Here is a 26,876-nt window from a genome sequence, read left to right as displayed (position 1 = left end):
AACTACCTGCCAATCAGAAAATCTGTAAATCCGCCTTTGACCTGGAAGTCCCCCTTTCAGTGGTCTTGCCTTTCTGCACTGAACCAAGGTACATCTTACACATATTGATTGATGCCGTATGTCTCCCTAAATGTATAAAGCTGAGCTGCACGCCGACCACCTTGAGTACATGTTCTCAGGACCTCCTGAGGGCTGTGTCATGGGTCACTGGTCACTGATATTTGGCTCAGAATAAATCTCTCCAAATATTTTACGGAGTTTGACTCTTTTGGTCGACCCCAGGATACCACCAATACAAAACAGAATGAACACACAATGCCAAGAGGTTGCCAGCGGGCATGCTTTTGTAAACATAGTGCCGTGTGTGTGTGTGTGTGTGTGTGTGTGTGTGACATAATAAAGATGCTGGGGAGAGGGAAATGGTGAGACTCAGTGATGACAGAATCCTGTCTATGTAGGAGGAAGCAGGGCTCTAAGTAGCATCTATGGGCATTGGCATTTGGAGTTTGATGGCTCAGCAGTGCAGAGGATGCCCTGCAAACCATGCAATTGCTTTATCCCTGGAGGCCACTGGTCATTGAAAGCACTGACATAAAGTCAAAACGATATAAGCCACATGGTCATCTGTAGCTCCGAAAATGCAGACTTTGAAGACTGCTATAAACTGAAAAGTATCTGAGGCAGGTCTCAATCTCAAGGTTTTATCATGCAGATGAAGCCTCCAGGTAACAGGCTTCAGAGAAAACAGATTGTAAATGTTACTTATCAGAGTTAAGGTCTGTGTGGATGTTCGTGCTGGAGGGGTAGAATGAGGCATGCCCAACTCCTCTTCCCATCATGGCATGAGCCAGACTCTCAGGTTAAGTTTTAGGGTGCCCTGGCAAAGGCGGGAATCCATTCAGATGGTTGTGGGGGGCCTTTAAATTTATTTTTGGTTTACACTATGAACCAATCCCACCCTATCACTATGCTTGTCTCAGGAGATATGTTCAGATTCTGCAAGGATTTTAATATCTACACTCTCTTAAGACCTGCAGCCTCGTTGGTCCTCTCCAGGGTTTCTTCAAGGCCATAGACGGAAGGTGACATCTCTGCATTGTCCTGAACTTTATTGCTTTAGTTTCTGTAACTTCTAATGAGGATGTTAAGTCATTGGCTGTGTAGAAGGTTGATAATATGGTTTGGATGTGTTTCCCCGCCCAAATCTCATGTGGAATTGTCATCCTCAGTGTTGGTGGTGGGGCCTGGGGGGGTGACTGAATGATGGGGGCAGAGTTCTCATGAATGGTTGAGCACCATCTCCCCTTGGTGCTGCAGAGTGAGTAGCTTCTCTCGAGATCTGGTTGTTTAAAAGTGTGCGGCTCCTCCCCTCCTCTCTTGGTCCTGCTCCTGCTTGAGACTCCTGCTCCCTTCACCTTCCACCATGAACAAAAGCTCCCCAAGGTCTCCCCAGAAGCAGACACCGCCATGCTTCCTGTGCAGCCTGCAGAACTATGAGCCAATCCAACCTCTTTTCTTTATAAATTACCCAATCTGTTATTTCTTTGCAAGAATGGACTAATACAGTTGATTTTATGCAGAATTAGACTAAGTAATTGGAAATACTGAAGGAGCAAATAAATGATATGAGAGAAGTTTTTCTTCCTATTATTCATTTTTTATTTCTTTTTATTTTGGAGACAGGGTCTTGATATGTTGCCCAGGCTGGAGTTCAATGGTGCAATAATTATAGCTCATTGCAGCCTCAACCTCCTGGGCTCAAATGATCTTCCCACCTCAGCCTCCGGAGTAGCTGGGACCACAGGTGCACACCACCATGCCTGTCCAATTTTTAAAATTTTTTGTAGAGATGCGGGGGCTCTCACTATGTTGCCCAGGCTGGTCTTGAACTCCTGGCCTCAAGCCATCTCCCTACATCAGCCTCCCAAAATGCTGGGATTAAAGCCATGAGCCACTTTGCCCCACCTGAAAATGTAGACTTCTAAGAATGTGAACTAATCCCACTCTAACACTATGCTTGTCTCAGGAGACACATTCAGATTCTGCAAGAATTTTTATGTCTGTGCTCTTTTAAGAATCTGCAGCCTCACCGGTCCTCTCCATGGTTTCCTGAAGGCCATAGAAGGAAGACAGCGTCTCTGCATTGTCCTGAACATTAACTTTATTGCTTCACTTTCGGTAGCTTCTGATGATGACATGAAGTCACTGGCTGTGTAGAAGGTTGATTTTGTGCAGAATTAGACCAAGTAATTGGAAATACTGAAGGAGCAAATAAATATGATATGGGAGTGTGTTCTGCCCCCATTCTTTGTACTATTATATTATTGTTGAAGAGGCAGGGTCTCACTCTGTTGCCCAGCCTGGAGTACAGCAGTGCAATCTCAGTTCACTGCAGCCTTGACTTCCCAGGCTGAAGCGATCCTCCTGCCTCAGCCTCCTGAGTAGCTGCCACTACAGGCATGTGCCACCATAGCTGGCTAAGCATTTATTTTTGTAGAGATGGGGTCTCACTATGTTGTGCAAGCTGGTTTTGAATTCCTGACCTCAAGCGATCTGTCTACCTGGGCCTCCAAAAGTGCTAAGAGTAACTCTTATTATTTTTATTTTAATTTTTTGTTTGTTTTTTTGAGATGGAGTCTTGATCTGTCACCCAGGCTAGAGTGCAGTGGCACAATCTCAGCTCACTGCAACCACTGCCTCCCATATTTGAGCGATTCTCATATGTCAACCTCCCAAGTAGCTGGGAATACAGTTGTGTACCACCACACTGGGTTAATTTTTATGTTTGTAGTAGAGACAGGGTTTCACCATGTTGCCCAGGCTGGTCTTGAACTCCTGACCTCAGGTGATCCACCTGCCTCAGCCTCCCAAAGTGCTGGGATTACAGGCATGAGCCACCACCGTTATTCTTTATTGCAAGCTGGTTCATATTCAGATGGCCAGTCTGTATGTTCAATGCTGAGGCCGAGGGTGGAGTGAGGCTCCGTGGTACCTTGACTTACCTATGAGCTAGTCCATCTCCTCCACATTATCCCCGTATAAGTCATGATGACTTTTCCCCAGGAATGCACTCGTGGTCACAAGGGGAATGTGCACATGCAGCAAAGAAAGGAAGAGGAGAAATGGCCCATGCTTGTGTCTGAAAGAAGAAAACCTCTTTGAGAATACACAGAACACACAGTACATCAAAGGGACCCCTGCACCCATATGTTCACTCCAGCACTATTCACAAGAGCCAAGGCAGGGGATCACCTTCTGAGGCCATCAGTGGGTGAACACAGAAAGAATAGATGGTGGGCCAGACGCGGTGGCTCATGCCTGTAATCCCAACACTTTGGGAGGCTGAGGTGGGAGGATCACCTGAGGCCAGGAATTCAAGACAGGCCTGGGCAACACGGTGAAATGCTGCCTCTACCAAAAATAGAAAAATTAGCTGGGCATGGTGGTTCGAGCCTGTGGTCCCAGCTACTCGGGAGGCTGAGGTGGGAGGATGGCTTGAGCCCAGGAGGTGGAGCTTGCAGTCAGCCCTGATCACTCCACTGCACTCCAGCATGGATGACAGAGCCAGACCCTGCTCAAAAAAAAAAAAATATATATATATATATATATTTTTTTATATATATACACACTACTATATATATTTTATATACACATATTATTTATATATATATGTGTGTATATATATATACTGTGTATGTCCACAGTGGAATACCATTCAGCCATAATAAAGACTGGAGGCTGGGCACGGTGGCTCAAGCCTGTAATCCCAGTACTTTTGGAGGCCAAGCCTTGCAGATCAGTTGAGGTCAGGAGTTCAAGACCAGCCTGGAGAATATGGTGAAATGGGGAAACCCCGTCTCTAGTAAAAATAAAAAAATTAACAGGGTGTGGTGGCAGGCGCCTATAATCCTAGCCACTCAAGAGGCAGAGGCACAAGAATTGCTTGAGCCTGGGAGACAGGTTGCGGGGAGCCGTGATCATGCCACTGCTCTCCAGCATGTGTGACAGAACCAACCCTGTCTCAGAAAAAAAGGGAATATCTGGTGTATGTACATGATGGAATACTATTCAGCCATCAAAAAGAATGAAATCCTGTCATTTGCAGCAATACAGATGAAACAGGAGGTCACTATGTTAACTAAAATAAGCCAGGCACAGAATGACCAATACTGCATGTTGTTACTCACATGTGGGAGCTAAGAAAAACTGATCACATGAAGATAGAGAATAGAATGATAGAGACCAGAGGCTGGGAAGGATGAAGGACAAAGAGAAGTGGTTTAAACAGTACAAACATACAGTAAGCTTAAAGGAATACATTCAATGTCTGGTAGCAGAGTAGAGTGACCAAAGCTAGCAAAATGTATTGTACTCAGGAGATGGACACTGTAAGTATGCTGACTTGCTCGCTATTCAGTGTATACACGTAACAAAATTTCACACATACCCCATACATTTGTACAAATTAAAAAGTAAGGGCCAGGCACGGTGGCTCACACTTACAATCCCAGCACTTTGGAAGGCAGAGGTGGGAAGATGGCTTGAGCCCAAGAATTCAAGACCAGCTTGGGCCATATAGTGAGACCTTGTCTCAAAAAAAAAAAAAAATAAAAATGAGACATTAGAAAAAGGCCAGGCACAGTGGCTCACGTCTGTAATCCTAGCCCTTTGGGAGGCCAAGATGGAAGGATTGTTTGAGCCCAGGAGTTTGAGAGCAGCCTGTGCAACATAGTGAGACCTCATCTCTACAAAGAATGCAAAAAAAAAAAAAAAAGTTTAAAGAAATGTCAATAAAAATGTACAGAATCCAATGGCGTGTATGTCAATGCTATTGAAGCCATCACATGACATCCACTTCGAGACTCTCATATGGGGAACCCAGCCACATGAAAAGGTTGGCTTCTGCAAAGCTGTCTCTTCCGAGGGTTGGTGTCTGAGATCCCAAAGATTATAAGGAGACTCTCAGATGCTCTGAGCAGTTACTGCCTCTTTTTTTTAATTAAACTTTATTTTTATTTTTTTAGGGACAGAGTCTCACTCTGTCACCCACGCTGAAGCACAGTGGTGTGATCATTGCTTACTGCAGCCTCAACATCTGAGGCTGAAGCGAACCTCCCACCTTAGCCTCCTGAGTAGCTGGCATTTCAGGCACACACCACCATGCCCGGCTAATGATTTTATTTATTGTAGAACCAGTCTTCTTACGTTGCCCAAGCTAGTCTAAAGCACCTGGGGTAAAAGATCCTCCCATCTTGACCTCCCAAAGTGCTGGGATTGAGAGGTGACAGTGTGCTGGCAGTCCTCACAGCCCTCGCTCGCTCTCGGCGTCTCCTCTGCCTGGGCTCCCACTTTGGCGGCACTTGAGGAGCCCTTCAGCCCACCGCGGCACTGTGGGAGCCCCTTTCCGGGCTGGCCAAGGCCGGAGCCGGCTCCCTCAGCCTGCAGGGAGGTGTGTCGGGAGAGGCTCAGCGCTTGCGGGCCAGCTAGAGTTATGGGTGGGCATGGGCTTGGCGGGCCCGCACTCGGAGCAGCCGGCCGGCCCTGCCCGCCCGGGCAGTGAGGGGCTTAGCACCCGGGCCAGCGGCTGCGGAGGGTGTACTGGGTCCCCCAGCAGTGCCAGCCAACCGGTGCTGCGCTTGATTTCTCACCGGGCCTTAGCTGCCTTCCCCCGGCGCAGGGCTTGGGACCTGCAGCCCGCCATTCCTGAGCCTTCCACCCCCTCCATGGGCTCCTGTGCCGCCCGAGCCTCCCTGATGAGCGCCGCCCCCTGCTCCACCTAGCCCAGTCCCATCGACCACCCAAGGGCTGAGGAGTGCACGCGGACCGCCTGGCACTGGCAGGCATCTCCACCTGCAGCCCCTGTGCAAGATCCACTGGCTGAAGCCAGCTGGGCTCCTGAGTCTGGTAGGGAGGTGGAGAACCTTTATGCCTAGCTCAGGAATTGTAAATACACCAGTCTGAACTCTGTATCTAGCTCAAGGTTTGTAAATACACCAATCAGCACCCTGTGTCTAGGTTAGGGTTTGTGAATGCACCAATCCACACTCTGTATCTAGCTACTCTGGTGGGGCCTTGGAGAACCTTTGTGTCAACACTCTGTATCTAGCTAATCTGGTGGGGAGGTGGAGAACCTTTGTATCTAGCTCAGGGATTGTAAACGCACCAATCAGCGCCCTGTGAAAACAGACCACTGGACTCTACCCATCAGCAGGATGTGGGTGGGGCCAAATAAGAGAATAAAAGCAGGCTGCCCCAGCCAGCAGTGGCAACCCGCTAGGGTCCGCTTCCATGCTGTGGAAGCTTTGTTCTTTCACTCTTTGCAATAAATCTTGCTACTGCTCAATCTTTGGGTCCACACTGCTTTTATGAGCTATAACACTCACAGCAAAGGTCTGCCGCTTCACTCCTGAGCCCAGCGAGACCACGAGACCACCGGGAGGAACGAACAACTCCAGACGCGCCACCTTAAGAGCTGTAACATTCACCGCGAAGGTCTGCAGCTTCACTCCTGAGCCAGGAAGACCACGGACCCACCAGAAGGAAGAAACTCCAAACACATCCGAACATCAGAAGGGACAGACTCCAGACGCGCTGCCTTAAGAGCTGTAACACTCAGCGTGAGGGTGGGCGGCTTCATTCTTGAAGTCAGTGAGACCAAGAACCCACCAATTCCGGACACAGGATGACAGGCATGAGCCATCGCGTCCGGCCCCATCTCCTCTTTAAGATGTGATGGTTGCTTACCTTTCAATATAGGAAACATCTTCCTTTAGCATAAGACTCGCTGTTTTCTCCAGAACCATGGGTTGCTCCGTGACGTCATGGTTTCTCATCAGGATACAGTTCCAGCGTCGCACAAACCCAAAGGAGGAGTACCAAGAGATAAAACACAAGAAGCCCATGCCGGTGACTGCTCTCGCGGAGACAGAGATGAAACTGCAGGTCTGGCCAGCAGCCAGGGTGAGAATCCCCAGGGCCAGGAACTGGGTGTAACCCCAGAGCTGCGCCCTCAGGGCGGCGTCCACTTCAGGGGGCCTGCCTGGGTCACAGTCGTTTGTGAGCGTGAAGGGCTTGTCGTAGAAATAGTCAAATCCGTGGTTCTGGGGGTGGTGGCAGTGATCCCCGCGGAATGCACAATTCACACCCTGGTGCCATTTTCCTAAAAGAAACGCAGACGTTCAACGGAGACCCGCTTTGAAGCAGCCCTTTCTGCTGCAAAGAACCTCCGAATCATTCCGCCTCGGCAGGAAAAGAAAAGTCTGCGAAGAGCAAAACTGGAAATGGAAAGGCAATGAATGGATTGGATACCGGTGTTTAAATGAACACATTCTTTTTTATTTTTATTTTTGAGACGGAGTGTCGCTCTGTCGCCCAGGCTGGAGTGCAGTGGCGCCGATCTGGGTTCACTGCAAACTCCGCCTCCCGGGTTCGTGCCATTCTCCTGCCTCGGCGTCCAGGGTAGCTGGGACTGCAGGCGCCTGCCACCACGCCTGGCTAATTTTTTGTATTTTTAGTAGAAACGGGGTGTTAGTCAGGATGGTCTCGATCTCCTGACTTTATGATCCGCCCGCCTCTGCCTGCCAAAGTGCTGGGATTACAGGCATGAGCCACCGCGCCCGGCCTAAATGAATGCATTCTGATCCGTGAAAGACTAATGAATGTATCCATGTCAGAACCCTTGGCAAGTGATTAAAGGTTTAAGACTTTTGGCGGGGAGCCGTGGCTCACGCCTGTAATCCCAGAACTTTGGGAGGCCGAGATGGGAGGACACGGAGTCAGGAGATCGAGACCATCCTGGCTAACACGGTGAAACCCCGTCTCTTCTTAATACAATAAAATTAGCTGGGCGTGGTGGCGGGCGCCTGTGGTCCCAGCTACTCAGGAGGCTGAAGCAGGAGAACAGCGTGAACCCGGGAGGCGGAGCTTACAGTGAGCCGGAGATCGTGCCACTGCTTTCCAGCCTGGGCGACAGAGAGAGACTCCACAAAAAAAAAAAAAAAAAAAAAAAATAGCAATAATAAATAAATAAATAAATAAAAGTTTTAACACTTTCCAGAATGTTGCTCTTACAGTCTTGCAACCCTAGACCATTCTATTAAATAATTTACAAAATATCATTTACATATATATGTAATACATGTATTTATATTATAGGATATATATTACCGATAATATAGATTTTATATATAACCTATAATATAGATTTTATATATAACCTATAATATAGATTTTATATATAACCTATAATATAGATTTTATATATAACCTATAATATAGGTTATATATATAACCTATAATGTAGGTTTTATATGTAATATATTACCTATAATATAGGTTTTATATGTAATATATAACCTATATAACTATAAATATAATGTGATAAATATAAATATTTAAAATGTTATAGTTACATACCTTTCAATATAGGAGTTGCATACCTTTCAAAATATTTATATTTATATATAATGCAAATATAGGTTATATATCATATACATTACAAATATATAGTTACATATTATATGTTATAGCATATTATATATTATACTGAAAAAAGAAAACCTTTATAATGTAAGAATACACAATACATCAAAGGGACCCTATATATAAATTTATATATATAAATAAATACAAATATATATTCTATATAACCTATATGAATACAGGTTATATATAATATATATAACCTATGTATATAAAAATATTAATATTTATATATACAAATATATTAATATAAATAAAATGTATTAATTTTTAAATATACATTCATAACATATAGATATATATATCTGTATAAATATTAATATTTATATATACATAGGTAATCTATAAATATATATAACCTATATATACAGGTAAATAGTTTTTTTTTTTTTTGAGATGGAGTCATGCTGTGTCACTCAGGCTGGAGTTCAGTGGCACAATCTTGGCTCACTGCAACCTCTGCCTCCCAGTTAAGGCAATTCTCCTACCTCAGCCTCCTGAGTAACTGGGATTACAGGCATGCACCACCGTCTCCGGCTAATTTTTTGTATTTTTAGTAGAGATGAGGTTTCTCCATGTTGGTCAGGCTGGTCTTGAACTCCTGACCTCAGGTGATCTGCCTGCCTCAGCCTCCCAAAATGCTGGGATTACAGGTGTGAGCCACCACGCCTCACCACAGGTAAATATCTTTAAGTAACAGATATATTACCTAAAATTTGTAAGTATACATTACCTATATATTTTATATGTCATATATAATATATACTTACATATTTTATAAGGTAATATATATTATATGTTATATATGAGTAATACATAATAGTTGTATATAAGTAAATATAAGTATTATAAGTTATATATAAGTATTAAAGTAAAAATAAAGTATATAAATATATATTTAAGTGTATAAAAAATAAAGTATATATTATATATTATATTTTATATGTATATAAATATATATGTTACTTAAAAGGTAACCAGTTACTAATGATAGTTGACTCCTGAATAATTCTGAAATGTAGTAGCAGAAACTGGCTCTCTCCACCAACTTGTAATCAAAATGCCCTTATACAATTTTTCCTAAGGCAATAACTGTTAGAACAATATCGTAGAGCTAGAATGTGGGGAAGCCCACACCTCAAATTTCAGGAGAATGTCTGAGAACTGGGGTGTCCATGCAACCCTTCTGTCCATCTCACATCCAGACCACCTGCCAACTCAAATTCAGGTACAGAAATAGATGGGAAAGGTTTCAGGGCCTTATTTGCCCCACTTGAAACTAGAGGAGATAAGGCCAGGCATGGTGGCTCTTGCCTGTAATCCTAGCACTTTTGGAGGCCAAGGTGGGAGGATGGCGTGAGTCCAGGAGTTTGAGTCCAGCCTGGGCAAGATGGCAAAACCCTGTCTCTACTAAAAATACAAGAATTAGCCAGGCATGATGGCAGGCACCTGTGGTCCCAGCTACTCAGGAGGCTGAGGTGGGAGGATTGCTTGAGCCTGGGAGGTAGAGGTTTCAGTGAGCCAAGACTGTGACACTGCACTCCAACTCCAGCCTGGGACACCCAGTAAGTAAGACCCTGTCTCCAAAAACAAACAAACAAACAAAACAGTGGAGGAGTTCAAGCTGGTTTCTCCCTACTTCCTCCTGACCATTCCTCACAAACTGTCCTCAGAATCCCTAAAAATGTATCTTTTTCTCAAACCCAGACACACTCCTATTCCCCCTTCTTACATTTAGGGGAAAAAATATGCTTGGATATAGTGAGGAGTGTCTCTGGAACATGAAGAACAGGCTTTCACCAAAACAGACTGAGTATGTGTACCACAAAATGAAGACTCTTAGAAGAAATGCAAATGTTTACCAAGATGCATGCAATCTTGGTAAACAAAAGTAAATCCACTAAAATAGTTAACAAAAGAAAGAAAAATTGGCTGAGTGCAGTGGCTGACACCTGTAATCTCATCAGTTTTGGAGGCTAAGGTGGAAGGCTCTCTTGGGGCCAGGAGTTCAAAACTAGCCTGGGCAACATAGCAAGACCCCCACCTCTACAAAAACAAGAAATAAAATTAGCTGGGCATGGTGGCGCATGCCTGTGGTCCCAGCTAGTTAGGAAGCTGAGGTGAGAGGATCGCCTGAGCCCAGAAGTTTGAGGCTGCAGTGAGCTGTGATTTTGCCACTACATTCCTGCCTGGGTGAGAGAGCAAGAACCTGTCTCTAAAAAAAATAAAATAAAGAATAAATCCACCCTCAGAGTAGGAGATACACAGACTTCTACAGTATAAAGCACTGGCCCTGTAACCCCAGCACTTTGGGAGGCCGAGGTGGGTGGATCACTTGAGGTCAGGAGTTCGAGACCAGTCTGGCCAACATGCTGAAACCCTGGCTCTACTAAAAATGCAAAAAAATTAGCTGGGCATGGTGGCACATGTCTGTGGTCCCAGCTACTCAGGAGGCTGAAGCAAGAGAATCGCTTGAACCCAGGAGGTGGAGGCTGCAGTGAGTTGCAATCGTGCCACTGCACTCCAGTGTAGGGGACAGAGCAAGACTCCATCTCAAAAAAATAAAAATAAATAATAAATAAAAGAAGAAAAAACTTTAAAAAAATTCAAAATAAAAATAAAGTGGCAGGAAACTTGAAAAGGAGGAACAATGGTTGTCCTCCTTTAGAAAACCACAGCTTTGGACAAGTTGGGGTGTTGCGGCTCCTGTGAATGGGACAGTGGCTTTGAGTGTGAGAAAAGCACAGAGAGGAACTGGGGACCCTGCACAGAAATCCCACCACCAGGTTGGGGCGGGTGGCCTCACCACTGCGCTCCCACGTTCTCATGTGTATGACGGGGACAGCACCTCTAAACCCACAGGCTGTGTAAGGAATGAAGGAGGTAACCAGCAGACTGCCTGGTGCTTGGCGGCATAAACCAACATCTCCCTCCTTTCCTCTCCGTGCAGAAAGGAGTTTAAGGGGCAGGCCTGAGCTAGTGCCCCTTAGGAAGGCCGGCTTGTAAGATTCCCCATGGCTGGTGTTTGAGATCTGGATTTCCAGTGGAGAATTCACATTATTAAAATAGTAAGCTGACTGCCTAAGCTATATGCAAAAGCAATGTGGTTCATGCTGTCAGGCCTCTGAGCCCAAGCTAAGCCATCATATCCCCTGTGACCTGCATGTATACATCCAGATGGCCTGAAGTAACTGAAGAACCACAAAAGAAGTGAAAATGGCCTGTTCCTGCCTTAACTGATGACATTACCTTGTGAAATTCCTTCTCCTGGCTTATCCTGGCTCAAACGCTCTCCCACTGAGCACCTTGTGACCCTCCCGGCTGCCCCTGCTGCCTGCCAGGAAACAACCTTCTTTGACTGTAATTTTCCACTACCTACTCAAATCTTATAAAATGGCCCCATCCCCATCTCCCTTCGCTGACTCTCTTTTTGGACTCAGCCTGCCTGCACCCAGGTGAAATAAACAGCTTTATTGCTCACACAAAGCCTGTTTGGTGGTCCCTTCACAAGGACATGAGTGAAACATGCTAAACATCTCCTTTGGCTCTGGGAGTCTGGAATTCGGGTTGGTGCCAGGCAGTGAGTGCCTGCAGGACCAGCCCCCAACAGAAACCCCTGGGCGCTGAATCTCCCCGGAGCTTCCCTAATAGACAGCATTCCATGCGTGTTGTTAAAACTCATTTCTGGAGGAATTGGTGCATCCTATGTGATCCCACTGTGGGAGGATTCTTGGGAGCTTGTGTCTGGTCTGTCCTGGGCTTCATCCATGTAATTCCCTTCACTGATTTTGCCTTACCTCCTTTGACTGTCATAAATCACCCATGAGCACAACTGTATGCCAAGTCCTCCTAGCAACTTCCTGAACTTAAGGGTGGTCTCGGAGACCCTTGACATGCTGTCTCTGATACAGGGTGGTCCTGGAAACCCCTGACATGCTCTTATAAAGGGTGGTCTTTGAGACTTTTGACATGCTGTCTCTTTTAAATGGTGCTCTTGGAGACCCCTGACATGGTATCTGTTATAAAGAAGGTGTTGTGCCCCTGCTGGGGCTTGTTGTCTAAAGGAAGGCAGTGTTTGTTAACTCTGGGGGTTTTGAGATGATGAGTGAACATGTAGAGAAAGATAATGTCTGAAGAAGGTCATGATAAATGGGGACAAGCTGAAGACTGATAGGTCTAGAGAAGAAAAGAGGGCAATCTCCTAGGATTTGGAATTTAAAAAGAAAAAAACTCAAAAAAACTGGGAACAATCCAATAGGTATGAGACGGACCAGGCACCAACTTCTTTTTTTTTTTTTTTTGAGACGGAGTCTCGCTTTGTCGCCCAGGCTGGAGTGCAGTGGCACAATCTCGGCTCCCTGCAAGCTCTTCCTCCTGGGTTCATGCCATTCTCCTGCCTCAGCCTCCTGAGTACCTGGGACTACAGGCACCCACCACCGTGGCTGGCTAATTTTTTGCCTTTTTTTTAGTAGAGACGGGGTTTCACTGTGTTAGCCAGGATGGTCTCAATATCCTGCCCTCATGATCTGCCCGCCGCAGCCTTCCACAGTGCTGGGATTACAGGCATGAGCCACCGCACCTGGCCCCCTGGGCACCAACTTCTGATTCAGAGGAGACAGGATTGTTTTCCTTTGAGGGAAAACAGGATTATTTTTATTATTTTATTATTATTATTTTTTTGAGACAGAGTCTTGCTCTGTTGCCTAGACTGGAGTGCAGTGGTGCGATCTCAGCTCCCTGAAACCTCTGTCTCCCGGGTTCAAGTGATTCTTCTGCCTCAGCCTCCTGAGTAGATGGGATTACAGGTGTGCGCCACCACGCACAGCTAATTTTTGTATTTTTAGTAGAGACAGGGTTTCACCATGTTGGTCACGCTGATCTTGAACTCCTGACCTCGTGATCTGCCCACCTCATCTTCCCAAAGTGCTGGGATTACGGGCATGAGCCACTGCACCCAGACTGGGATCTTTTTTATCATGAATCTTCTCAACCACCATATAATATAAGGCTCCCACATATCCACACTTATGAGGCCAGTTGCATAGTCGCGGTGCTGCAAGATTCTTGCAAAAGTGGTTTCGTTCTCAGGGAGCCACCTGAGCCTGCATTCCACTGAAGGGCCCAGTATCCATTGCTGGCGTCCATGCCTGTGGGGCAGGGAAGAGAGTAAGAATTTACTTTCCCTTCTCTAGAGGAGGACTTCTCAACTATGGGGATTTGGTGTCTGAGATCTGGATTTGCGCAGCCGAGCCAAGCTGCTGTTATCTATCATCCATCTATCATGTATGGAGCTATCACTTATCTACCCATCTATCATCTGTCATCTATCTACCTACCTACCTACCTACCTACCTACCTACCTATCATACTATTCTCAAAATAATAAGCATGGCCAATGTCTGAAGATGTTTGTGGTGTCACAACTCAGAAAGAGTGGGGTGTGGTGCTACTCATATCAGGTGTGTGGAGCCCACGTATGCTGTTCAAGACCCTACATACAGTGCACAGAACGGCCTCACCATAGAGAATTTTCTAGCCCCAAATGTCCATCATGCCAAAACAGAGACACCCTACCTTAGGATGACAGACTCTATGTGATCTCTCATATGCTATCTATCTGTTTACCTATCACCTATCTATCCCAATATGTATCCATCATCTATCATCTATATCTATCCATCTATGTATCTCTTATATATCATTATCATTACTCATCTAGCTATCAATCAGCTATCATTATCATCTATCACTTCTCTATCATCTATCATTATAATCACCTGTTATCTAGCTGTCTAGCTATCAATCACCTATCATGTCATTATCAATCATCTATCATTATGTATCATCATCATCTAGATATTTATCTATCAATTATCCATCATCTACCATTATCATCCATCTAGCATGTATCTAGCTATCAATTATCTATCTATCTGTCTGTCTATCTGTCTATCTATCTATCTCACAATGCTTCTCAACTTGGGGAAACTTTGCTCTCTCTAAGACACACTTGGTCTTGTGATCAGTCATACTGGCTCCAGAATAAACCTCTTTAAAATATTCAACAGACCTTGGCTTTTCTGTTCACATCCTAATGATCACAACTTTTATGTGTATGCACACAATACAATATTCCTTACATAAATATAGGGAAGAGGATGAATTGCAGATAATCTTTGTACCATTGCCCCTATATCTTCACCATCAGTACTCAACTGTTACAGATGATAGAATGAGTGCACACAGATGTGCCCATTCTTCCATCATCTCCATGACACCAACCTGACCTGAAAGAATGTCTCCCCATGAGGAATGCAGCTCGGCTTGGGGTGCAGAGCAGGGTGGCCGCCAGGTGCTGAGTGAGCCTCACACCTTCCTCTGCAAGCTGGTCAATATTTGGCATTCTGAGCAAAGCACACAAATGTCATTGCTGGAAGGGAGACATGCATTTGGCTTAAGCAGATCCCTGCTCTGAAAGGCACAGGAATAGACTGTGAAGACTTCACTGGATTTCAGAATTAGTTGCATTATGGCCTCCTGTAGAGGCAGATTGACCGCTATCCTAAGTTTGGTGTTGATGTTGAGATGGGTGACGTCACACACACACACACACACCCACACACACACCAACACACACACACAGAGTACATGAGACAACTTATGACAAACATTATGAGGCTTTCTAGGGAGAGCAGTGCAGACCTTCCAAGCTCATGTGAAATAAGGAAGCAAAGAAAGGAGATTTATGTTTTTAATTGCTGTGAGGGTGTGGGGATTGGATGAGAGTTCCCATGCAAGGGTGGGGGCGTTTATGGTCTGAATCTGCCATCAGCACCAAAGTAGACATTCCCTGTGCTTTCTTATCTGCTTGTCCAGATGGGGAACACAGAGAGAAGAGGCCTAAAAGCTTTCAGCATCAGATATCAAAAAACAGTGAGGGCCGGGCATGGTGACTCATGCCAATAATCTCAACACTCTGGGAGGCCTAGGCGGGCAGATCACTTGAGGTCAGGAGTTCAAGACCAGCCTAGCCAACATGGTAAAACCCCGTCTCTACTAAAAAAAAAATACAAAAATTAGTCAGGCAAGATGGTGCACACCTGTAATCCCAGCTACCCGGAAGGCTGAGACAGGAGAATAGCTTGAGCCCAGGAGGCGGGGGTTGCAGTGAGCCGAGATCGCACCAGTGCTCTCCAGGCTTGGTGAAAGAACAAAGTGAGACCCTGTCTCAAAAAAGAAAAAAAAGGAAGCCAAAAGAGGTATCCACATAGAATGGAATCTGTGGAATTCTCATAGATTCAGCCACTGCAAGGCGTGAGGCACGGTACTGACACTTGCTGCCACAGGGAGGAACCCTGAAAACACTGGTCTGTGAAAGCATCCTGACATAAAAGACCACAGGTTATATAATTGCATTTGTATGAAATGTCCCTAACAGGGGAGTCTATAGAGATGGAAAGTACATTAGTGGCTGCCAGACACGGAGGGTTAGGGTGCTGAGAGGTGGAGGAGTGTTAGCTGGGGCTGCCATAACAAAGTCCTACATACCTGGCCGCTTCAACACCAGATATTGGTCGGGCACAGTGGCTCATGAGTGTCATCCCAGCACTTTGGGGGGCCAAGGCCAAGGTGGGTGGATCACTTGAGGCCAGGAGTTCGAGACCAGCCTTGGCAACATAGTGAAAACCTGCCTCTACAAAAAATACAAGGATGTGGTGGCATGTGTTTGCAGTCTCAGCTACTCATGAGGCTGAGGTGGGAGGATTGCTTGAGACGAGGAGAGGGAGGTTGCAGTGAGCTGTGATCATGCCACTGCATTCCAGCCAACAGAGTGAGACCCTCTCTCAAAAAAACAAAACAAAATAAAACAGAAAAACAAACCCAGTAGACATTTATTCTCTCACATTTCTGGGAGCTGGAAGTCTGAGATCAAGCATGGGCAGGGCTGGTTCCTCCTGAGGCCACCATCCTGGGCTCGTAGACACCATCTTCTCCCTGTGTCCTCAGGTGGTCATTGCTCTATGTGTGTCTGTGTCCTTATCTCCTCTTCTTATGAGGACCCTAGTCCTATTGGATCAGGGCCCACCCTAGTGACCTCATTTTACCTGAATCACGTCTCTAAAGACTCAGTCTCCAAATAGAGTCACAGTCTGAGGTCCTGGGGGTCAGGACTTCGATGTAGGTGTTTAGGGGACACAGATTCGCTCCTCGCTGGAGGTGATGGCTAAGGGGATGCAGAGTTTCTTTGGGGGTATGCAAATGCTCTAACATGGTTTGTGGTGACAGATGCACAGCTCCATGAATAGAATAAAAGTCCCTGAACTGTACACTGTAAACAGATGAACTGCATGTTCTGTGAATTACAACCAGGCTTGCTCAGGGTGTTCGAAAGGGGATCCCTGGACAAGGGGCAGATTGATTGATTGATTGATTTAGAGACAGGGTCTTGCTCTGTGGCCCAGGCTAGAATGCAGTGGCGCAACCTCAGCTCACCATAACCTCCACCTCCCGGGCTCAAGCCATCCTCCACTCTCAGCTTCCTGAGTAGCTGGGACTACAGGCATGCACCACCATGCTTGGCAAATTTTTTGTGTATTTCATAGAGACAGGGTTTTGCCATGTTGCCCAGGCTGGTCTCAAACACCTGGGCTCAAGTGATCCACCTTCCTTGGCCTCCCAAGGTGCTGGGATGACATGCGGGAGCCACCCTCCCAGCCCCCACAGGGCAGACTGCTGCAGGTGCTGCATTGTCCTCTACAAAGAAGGGAGGCCCTGCTCTGCGGCAACTGCTCCTGAGGTTGGCATCTTTTAAAAAGCAGATGCAGCCTGCATTCTGAGGCAGTCCTTCTAAAAGCCCACCAAATGAATAAGGAGGTTTCTCACCTTTTCTCCTGTTGCAGAAAGCATGTGAGCACCACTCAAGCGCTCTGCTGGTAAGGCTGGCATAGAGGCTACTACTCTGTGTTTGCACATGCCACTGCAGTGGGCTGAATGGGGGTCTGCAAACCGATCTGTCCATGTGCTGACTCCACAAACCTGTGCGTGAGACCTTATTAGTTAGGTACCCTGAGATGGGATCATCCTGGTTTAGAGAGGGCCCTAGATGCAATGACCAGTGTCCTTCTGAGAGACAGAGGAGGAGACACAGACACAGGGGAGAAGGCCACGTGGGGACGGAGGCACAAACTGGAGTGATGTGGCCACAAAGCCAGAGATGCCTGGAGCCCCCAGGAGCTGGGAGAGTCAGGAAGGGTCCTCCCCTACAGCCTCTCAGGGAGCTCTGTTGGTGTCTTAATCTCCTCTTTTAGTAATCCATATCAGATTAGGGCTCACCCTAAGGACCTCAGTTTAACTTAATTACCTCTTCAAAGACCCCATCTCTGAATACGGTCACACCCTGAAGTACTGGTGGTTAGGGCTTCAACCTACAAATTTGGAGGAGGCCAGAATTCAGCCCACAACAGACGTTGTTTGCAAATGTAATCAACAGAAGATGAGATCTTTACAGTGGGCAGGCCTTGCTGCAATGGCCGGTGTCCTTATAGGATGAGGAGATTAGGACACAGACACAGAGGAGAAGGCCCCGTGGAGATGGAGGCAGAGACTGTAGTGATGCGGCCACAAGCTCAGGGACACCTGGAGCCCCCAGGAGCTGGGAAAGTCCGGAAGGATCCTCCCATAGGGCCCCCCGAGGGAGCCCGGCCCTGCCCACACCTGGATTTAAGATTTCTGGTCTCCAGACCTGGGAGAACAAATTTCTGTTGTTTTAAGCTACCCATTTTGTGGTAGTAATACATTCACCCCCTCACCGCAGTTCTGCAGCGTTTAAAAGGGCCTTTTTACCTGTTGGTAGTTTTTTGTTGAGTTCTGAGGCCCTAAGGAGTTTCCTAATTTCTCCAGGCAGATTTTAAATGCACTATTCCTTCAAACTCACATCACATCATCACCAATAGCAACAACCAACTGTACCTCAGTGTATTGTTCCCATAGCAACCGAGATCCCCAATGCCTAGATCATCCGCCATGATCAGTAGGATATTTGGTTTAAAGGCATTTGCAGTTTTAGGTTCACACGTCTTCAGAAGCAAGCATAAAAACAGTAGCACCGGCAAAGATTCCCTGGAGAGAAAAGCAAAACACAGAAATGACTATCTACAATTTGGCACAGGAAGTAGGCATTTCAAGGCGGCTTGCTGGGAAGGTGAAGGTCTTCCGACCTTCTTAACTAAATTAAGACATTCATCTTTATGGGAGGTTATTATCTTGGCCTGAATTCCTGCACTTGTGTCCCCAGACCAAACGAGGGTCAGACTGCTATTTCCTGTGACTCAATAGCGAGATGCAGATGTCTGATACCCTAACTTGTATTAACTTTATTGACTCTCTCTTAGCTGAAAAAGCTGGATGGATTCCATTTGGCTCCTTCATTTGCAAGACATTAAGGGCTCGTTACCCACCCCCTTCCTCAAGGACTTAACTTGTGCAAGCTGACACTTAGCACATCAAAGAGTGCAATTAACTGATAAGGTAAGGTGGCAAGCTATGTCCACAGTTCCCAGGAATTCACCTGGGTGATAGTACCCTAAGGCCCCGCTTTTGTGTCTGGCAGATAGCACCCAGAGCCCCCGCACCTATCACCTTGTGATGAGTTTAAAGCCCCTGCACCTGGAACTGTTTGTTTTCCTGTAACCATGTGTCTTTTCAACTTTTTTGCCTGTTTTACTTCTGTAAGATTGCTTCAGCTCAATTCCCCCTCCCCTCTCTAAACCACAGTATAAAAGAAAATCTAGCCCCTTCTTCAGGGCTGAGGGAATTTCGAGCATTAGCCATCTCTCAGTCGCCAGCTAATAAAGGTCTCTTTAATTAGTCTCAAAGTGTGGCGTTTCTCTATAACTCACTTGGTTACAATATTTGGAGACCCCAGCGAGATATTTGCCACCAGGTGAGAGCTGGACTCATTCCAGCCTCCCCCATACGGTGGACTTATAGGGGAGGCACCACCTGAAGATGTCCCAGGGCCCCATAAGACTCCGTCTTCCGGAGGAGAACGGATCGACCACTGGAGTGTGCCCACAAAATTCAACTTCTGAGTCCTCAGTTTCTGGTCTCAGGAATGTAAGTCAGCTCTGACTCTGGTTTGGTGAGAGGGAAGTGGCCCTGATAAGGGTGTCTCTCTCTTTGACTCTGCCCCCATTCCAGGACACTGGAGGACAGAGCCTTGGTTTTCTGTTAGGCACCTTTGGTTCTGGTTTGGTGAGCGGGAACTGTCCCTGATGAGGGCATTTCTCTTTGACTCTGTCCATATTCCAGGATGTTGGAGGACAGAGTCCTGGTTTCTGGCAGGCCGGCCTCTCCATTAAGACTAGTCTCTCAGTCTCTCCCCCTCTTTTTTTTTCTCTCTCCCCCTCCCCCTTTTTCTATCTCTTCTCTTTCTCTCGTTCAGGTCTCCCGGAGACCTCTGTTTAGAACGGGAATAAGAAAAATTGTTATAAACTCTGTGTGAATGTGTGCATGAATGTGGAATTCAAAGGCTTGCCCTTGAATCTCCAGTTTGTAGCTCCACAGCGAAAGCTATGGAGTTCAAGTGGGCCCTCACCTGCAGTTCCGTGGTGACCTCATAAGGCTTAAGGCAGCATCGGGCATAGCTGGATCTGAGCCAGGGGTTTATACCGGCCTGCAAATGCTAAGAGGAGCGTAAGTCCCCTCAGGGGGAGTGGCCAGGCGGGCATCTGACTGATCCCATCACGGGACCCCCTCCCCTTTGTCTGTCTATAAAAACTTCCATAATTGTTTATATACCCTAGGGTCTATTGCCTGATTTGTGTTTATTGCCTGTTTTGTGTCTATTGTTGTGTTTGGTGTTTATTGTCCCGTTTAGTGTTTGTCTAAGTTTCATATGTCAGGTCATCAATATTGCCCAAGACGACTGGGTAAGGACTTCTTCAAAGTCCTGAGTACAGATTTTCTAACACAGGAGGTCTCAGGTGTGTGTCTTCAGGTTGCTGGGCCCAGGGGCCAGGCATGCTTCCACCAGTACACAAAAGAAACAGCCTCCTTCCCCTCTGGCAGGGGCTCCTGACCCACAGGCAAAGAGTAGGAGGTGACAGTGCCGGACCCCCTCCCCAAGGGGACCCCTCAGGTGCCCGGCTCCTACGCCTTCAGGCATCAAAGCCGCCAACTTCCCCGAGCCCCAGTGCTTCCACACCCAGCTCAGAATGCAGGCACCCAGCCTGCTATGGTAGCCTTGGCCCTGGGCCAGGCTTCTAAGCTAGGCTTGCAGCGCCTGATGGGGCCTGGAGGTGGGGCCGGGGACCGCAGAGTCATCCTGGCAAACCAGCACTGCCCAGCATGGCTCCTCTCAGCCTGAAAGGATCTGAGTGGCCCCTTTTCTCCTCATCCCCATCCCTTGCCCTGCACATCTCGTTTTCCTGTGTCACAGCAAGTCCAGCACCTCCAAGACTTAGCTCTGCTCTCCCTCCTCAAACCCTTAAAAGAAAAGGCTGAGTTTGAACTATTTGCCTTTCAGTCGTGGAGACACCAAAGATATTTAGGCTGTAAGTCAAAAGGCAGAGGGAAATCATGTAGGTCCCACCAGCCTCGGACCCACCTCTTGTCTTCTCCCTAAATCTCAAAGCTTAAAAGGACAGAACTCATGTAGCAGGAAGCACTGGCAATAGCTGTTTTCCTGCTTCTTTTAGCCATATTATTTCTGTTCTTCTGATGCTACAACCCCCCAGGTCATGAATTTCTCTGTCAGTGCTGGGTTTATTATCTCTGCTCAAACCTTGTTAAACTGCCCCAGAATAGGATACTCTTCTTCCCGGCCTCATAAAGATTTGAGCCCTCTCCAATGTATGTTACAAAAATTTTCTCTAGGCTTCTCAGAGGATTATGGGGTCTGCCTTAAAAAAGGCAAACTCTGGACACTCTGTGAAGCAGAATGGCCAAATTTTGGAGCTGGGTGGCCCCCAGAAGGGTCACTGAAGCTCGCAGTTGTTCAGGCTGTGTGGCGGGTTGTTGCTGGAACTCCTGGTCACCCAGATCAGTTTCCATACATTGATCAGTGGCTGAGTTTGGTCAGGAGCCCTCCTCCATGGCTCCGCTAATGCATCATTCATAATTCTACCTCTAAGTTCCTTTTGAGCCAGACCTCACTTTTGCCTCAACCCTCAGCTGGCTCGGCTCCTCCTATTCTGCTTCCTTCTGAAGAAGAAGAGAATCTTCTTCACCCAGTTCCACCAGCTTATAACCCTCTTGCTCCTTTAGAATCTTCCCTTGTCTCCTCGAGGATGTCCCCTGTGGGCTGTCCGCCTGTTGCCTCTAGATTGCGGCCATGGCAGGAGGAGGTAGCCCTCCTCCTCCCACTGAGAGAGGCACAAGTCCCTTTGGGTGATGAGCACTTAGCTCCATTCTTAGTTTATGTCCCCTTTTCTACTTCTGAGCTGTATAATGGGAAAGATTATAAACCCCCCTTTTCTGAAAAGCCCCAGGTCTTGACCTCACTGATGGAGTCCATGCTCTGGACCCATTGGCCCACCTGGGATGACTGTCAGCAGCTCCTTTTGACCCTTTTCAACGCTGAAGAGAAGGAACAGATCCAAAGAGAGGCCAGTAAGTATTTCCTCACATCAGCCAATAGGCCAGAAGTGGAAGCTAGAGGCCTCCTTAAGGAAGTTTTTCCTTCTACCCGGCCTAATTAGGACCCAAACTCCTCAGGTGGGAAGAGATCTTTAGACGATTTTCACCGGTATCTCCTTGTGGGTATCAAGTGAGCCGCTTGGAAACCCGTAAACTTGTCTAAGATGACTGAAGTTGTCTAGGGGCCTGATGAGTCACTGTGAACGTTTTAGAATGCCTCCAGGAGGCCTATCAGACTTACACCCTTTCTGACCCGGAGTCTCCTGAAAATAGCTGTGCTCTTAATTTAGCATTTGTGGTTCAGGCAGCCCCTAATATTAAAAGAAACCTACAAAAACTGGAAGGATTTGCTGGGATGAATATCAGTCAACTTTTAGAAATAGCCCAAAAAGTTTTTGACAATCAAGAGTTTAAAAAGCAAAAACAGGCAGCTGAGGCAGCTGACAAGGCTGCTGACAAAGCATCAGAAAGACAAGCGAAAATCTTAGTGGCGGCCATCCAGGAAGCCAGAAAGGAAAGGCCCCCATCACAGAACACTAGCCAGGGGGCCCTGGGTCCATGCTAGAAAAGCCAGAAAAGTGACCAGGGTTCCCTTCAAAGAAAAACCAATGTGCTTATTGCAAGCAGATAGGAAACTGGAAAAAGGAATGCCCATTAAGACCAGAGGAAAAACCAGAAGACAAAAAAGTCCTCACCCTCCCTGCTGCGGAGGACTCTGATGATTGATGGGACCAGGGCTCCTTTACACTTGGCCCTCGGGAGCCCATGGTGACCGCCATAGTAGGGCGCCAGCCTGTACACTTCCTAATTGACACCAGGGCGGAACACTCAGTACTGCAGATGCCCCTAGGCAGTGTCTGTAATAGGAAAGTGGTTGTACAGGGAGCTACTGGAGTTATTCAGGAATATCCTGTCACCCAGTCATAAGAGGTGAGTTTGGGACAGAAAAGAGCAACTCACTCATTCCTCTTGGTCCCAGAGTGTCCTTTTCCCCTCCTAGGATGAGACCTGTTCCACAAGCTGTAGGCATCTATTTCCTTCTCGGCCCAACAAGCTCACCTCATGTTAGGGGACACAATGCCCCCTATTGCTCAGCTCCTGTTAACCACCCCTCTGTCAGAAGAATATCTGTTAGTTTCACCTCCAAAACCACCAGAAAATAAAACTAATCCTCTCCTACTGGAATTACAGACTCTCTTTCCTTGAGTCTGGGCTGAGCCAATCCCCCCAGGACGGGCTAAGCACCATCCACCAGTGGTAGTAGAACTCCTGGCCACCACCTTGCCAGTCCAGGTGAAGCAATAGTCTGTGAGTCAGCAGGCTAGGGAGAGAATCAACCCCCATATTCAGCAACTGTTACAAACTGGCATACTCACACCATTGCCAGTCCATCTGGAATACTCCATTTTTTCCGGTCCAAAAACCCAGAACAAATGATTACTGGCCTGTACAGGACTTAACGGAAGTTAACAGACAGATAGTCACTGTCCACCCAACTGTCCCTAACCCTTATACTTTACTCAGACTGCTTCCACCAGAACACACAATTTGCACTGTCCTTGACTTAAAAGATGCTTTCTTTGCTATTCCTCTGGCCCCCAAAAGCCAACCTATCTTTGCTTTTGAATGGACAGATCCTGGCTCAGGAAACACCACCCAATTGACCTGGACTCAGTTACCTCAAGGTTTTAAAAATTCCCCCACCCTTTTTAAGGAAGCCCTTCAACAGGATCTTATACCATTTCAAGCCAGAACCCTAATTGTACTCTTCTTCAGTACACAGATGACCTTTTATTAGGTACTGAAACTACTGACAGTTGCCTGCAACACACTAAGGACCTATTTTACCTCCTTCAGGAACTCAGGTATCAAGTCTCAGCCAAAAATCCCAGCTTTGTCTTCCCAGAGTCTCCTACCTAGGGTATGAGATAAACAGAGGAAAAAGGGCACTTATCAGTGCTTGTAAGGAAGCCATCCCACAAATCCCCACTCCCACCAAGAGACAGGTACGTGAATTTCTGGGGGCCATAAGATACTGTCGCCTGTGGATATTAAGGTCCGCAGAGATTGCCAAGCCCCTGTACACTGCTACTGGAAGGAATGGCCCACTAGTATGGACTGACACCAAAGAATAGGCTTTCAAAAACCTGAAAAAGGCATTAACTGAGGCCCCCACTCTAGCCCTCCCTAATATCTCAAAACCATTTCACCTTTTATTCACGAAAGCCAGGGAGTTGCTAAGGGGGTGCTCACTCAGACTTTAGGACCCTGGAGATGCCCAGTAGCCTATTTGTCTAAGAGACTGGACCCTGTGGCCGCTGGATGGCCAACTTGTCTGTGAGCCGTAGTGGCCACAGCAAGCCTAGTCCAGGAGGCTAATAAATTGACTCTGGGCCAAAACTTCACCCTCATGGCTCCTCACGCCATAGAGATTTTGCTACCAAGTGCTTCTGGCAAATGGATGTCAAATGCTCGCATCCTGCAGTATCAGAGTTTACTGTTAGATCAGCCTCTTTTGACTTTCTCTTCCATAAGGTGTTTAAATCCAGCTGCTTTCCTCCCTGATCCAAACTTCACTACACCTGTCCGTGACTGCCAGGAACTGTTAGAAACTACAGAAACTGGCTGAACTGATCTCCAAGATATGCCCCTATAAACATATACCATGTTTATAGATGGTAGCAGCTTCCTCGAACAGGGAGTACAAAAGATTGGTGCAGCCTTTACTACGGAGACAGATGTGCTGTGGTCCCAGGTGTTGCCAGCAGGTACCTCGGCACAGAAGGCTGAATTGATCGCCCTCACTCAGGCTGTCTGATGGGTTAAGGACAAATGTATTAATATTTATACTGACAGCAGGTATGCTTTTGCTACTGTACATGTACATGGAGCCGTCTATCAAGAATGCGGGCTACTTACTTCAGCAGGAAAGATTGTCAAAAACAAAGAAGAAATTTTAGCCCTGCTTGAAGCAGGTGGCTGTAATTCACTGCAAAGGACATCAAAAGGAAGACTTGGCCATTGCCCATGGGAACCAAAGAGCAGATTCTGTAACTCGAAAGGCAGCATGGCTCCCTGTCATGCCTTTAACCCTGCTGTCCGCTGTGTCCTTTCCGCAACCTAACTTGGCAGCCCCAGAAAAAAAAAGAAACAAGCTTCAGATCTTCAGGCCAATTAAAATCAGGAAGGTTGGTGGATTCTTCCTGATTCCAGAATCTTCATACCCCGAGCTCTCAAGGAAACTTTAATCAGTCGTCTTCATTCTACCACCCATTTAAGAGGAGTAAAACTGGCCCAGCTCCTAAGGAGCCATTTCAAGATCCCTTCGCCTTCAGAACTCTGCAAACCAAGCAGCTCTCTGGTGTATGGCTTGTGCTCAAGTAAATGCCAAGCAAGGTCCTAAACCCATCTCAGGGCACTGCCTCCGGGGAAACTCGCCAGGAAAAAGGTAGGAAATTGACTTTACAGAAATAAAACCACACTGGACTAAGTAGAAATACCTTTTGGTACTAGCAGATACATTTTCTGGATGGACTGAGGCATTTGCCCCCAAAAACGAGACTGCCACCACAGTAGCTAGGTTTTTACTCGATGAAATCATCCTTTGACATAGGCTGCCTGCTGCCATAAGGTCTGATAATAGACCAGCCTTCACCTTGTCCATACCTCAGTCAGTCAGTAAGAACTCAGAGCTCTGCACAGGTAGAATGCATAAACCACACCCTAAAAATACTTTTACAAAGTTAATCTTAAAGACTGGTGAAGATTAGGTAAGGCTCCTTCTTTAGTCCTTCTTAAAGTAAGATGAACTTCCTACCAGGCTAGGTTTTCACCTTTTAAAATCATATATAAGAGGGTTCCGCCGATCTTGCCTAAGCTAAAAGATACCCATTTAGCAGAAATCTCACAAGCTAATTTATTACATTACCTACAGTCTCTCCAAAAGGTGCAAGATATCATCCAGCCACTTGGACTGAGAGCTCATCCCAATCCAGTTCCTGATCAGATGGGGCCCTGCCACTCGTTCCAGCCAGGTGACCTGGTGTTCGTTAAAAAGTTCCAGAAAGAAGGACTCCTGCTTAGAAAAGACCTCATACTGTCATCCTTACCACCCCAATGGCTCTAAAAGTAGAAAGGAATGCTTACATTCATGACACCCCCTAGTACAAAGCATGTTTAACTGTAATCTATGACTAACTACCCTAATTACTGGATTGGCAGAACCCTTTTTCTCCTTCTCTTGTTTAGTCTTCCAACCATTATATATTAAAATTAGTTTCTTAAATTTGTAAAACAACGCATAGCTTCTGTCAAACTTAGGTATCTTAAAACCCAATGTAACTAACCCCCTTGTTATAACCGAGGAATCCCCTCAGTCGCCTCCTATCCCTGGGCTCTGATGTCTGGCGTCTTTCCCAGGCACAGAAGCCGCCTCCAGCTACATTCTGGGGACTACAGGGCGCCGGATATAACCACGCCCTTTACAGGGACCCTTCGTGCTCGCGACCCCCTCCCCAGGCCCTCACCCCAAGCCTTAGTGTGGGCCACATCCCAGGGTCCCTGGCACCTGGCGGCGGGCGGGTGCGTCCACTCAAGCTGGCTGATCGCATGGCCCATCGCTGGCCCAGAGCGAGGGACCTTTGCGCACTCTGCGCAGGGCTCTGCTAGTGCCAAGGTGATCTCTCTCAGCTATGGGATCTAGGGTGTACGCCTGCCCCTCCTTCATCCGCCTCATGTCCTGGCTCTCGGGACCTCAG

General features: G+C 46.8%; 1 long non-coding RNA gene and 1 pseudogene across 1 annotated transcript; one reads left to right on the top strand and one right to left on the bottom strand.

The window, feature by feature from the left end:
- On the bottom strand, positions 1,051-26,788 carry ARSDP1 (arylsulfatase D pseudogene 1; annotated as a pseudogene).
- LOC107987343 (uncharacterized) lies at positions 17,113-26,047 on the top strand. The gene is made up of 3 exons (XR_001756060.1): positions 17,113-19,008; positions 21,966-22,092; positions 24,655-26,047. It is a non-coding gene; the product is annotated as an uncharacterized LOC107987343 (long non-coding RNA).

This window comes from Homo sapiens, chromosome Y, assembly GCF_000001405.40.
Source record: "Homo sapiens chromosome Y, GRCh38.p14 Primary Assembly".
Classification (NCBI taxonomy): Eukaryota; Metazoa; Chordata; class Mammalia; order Primates; family Hominidae; genus Homo; species Homo sapiens.
This window is presented reverse-complemented; position numbering and strand designations above follow the sequence as displayed.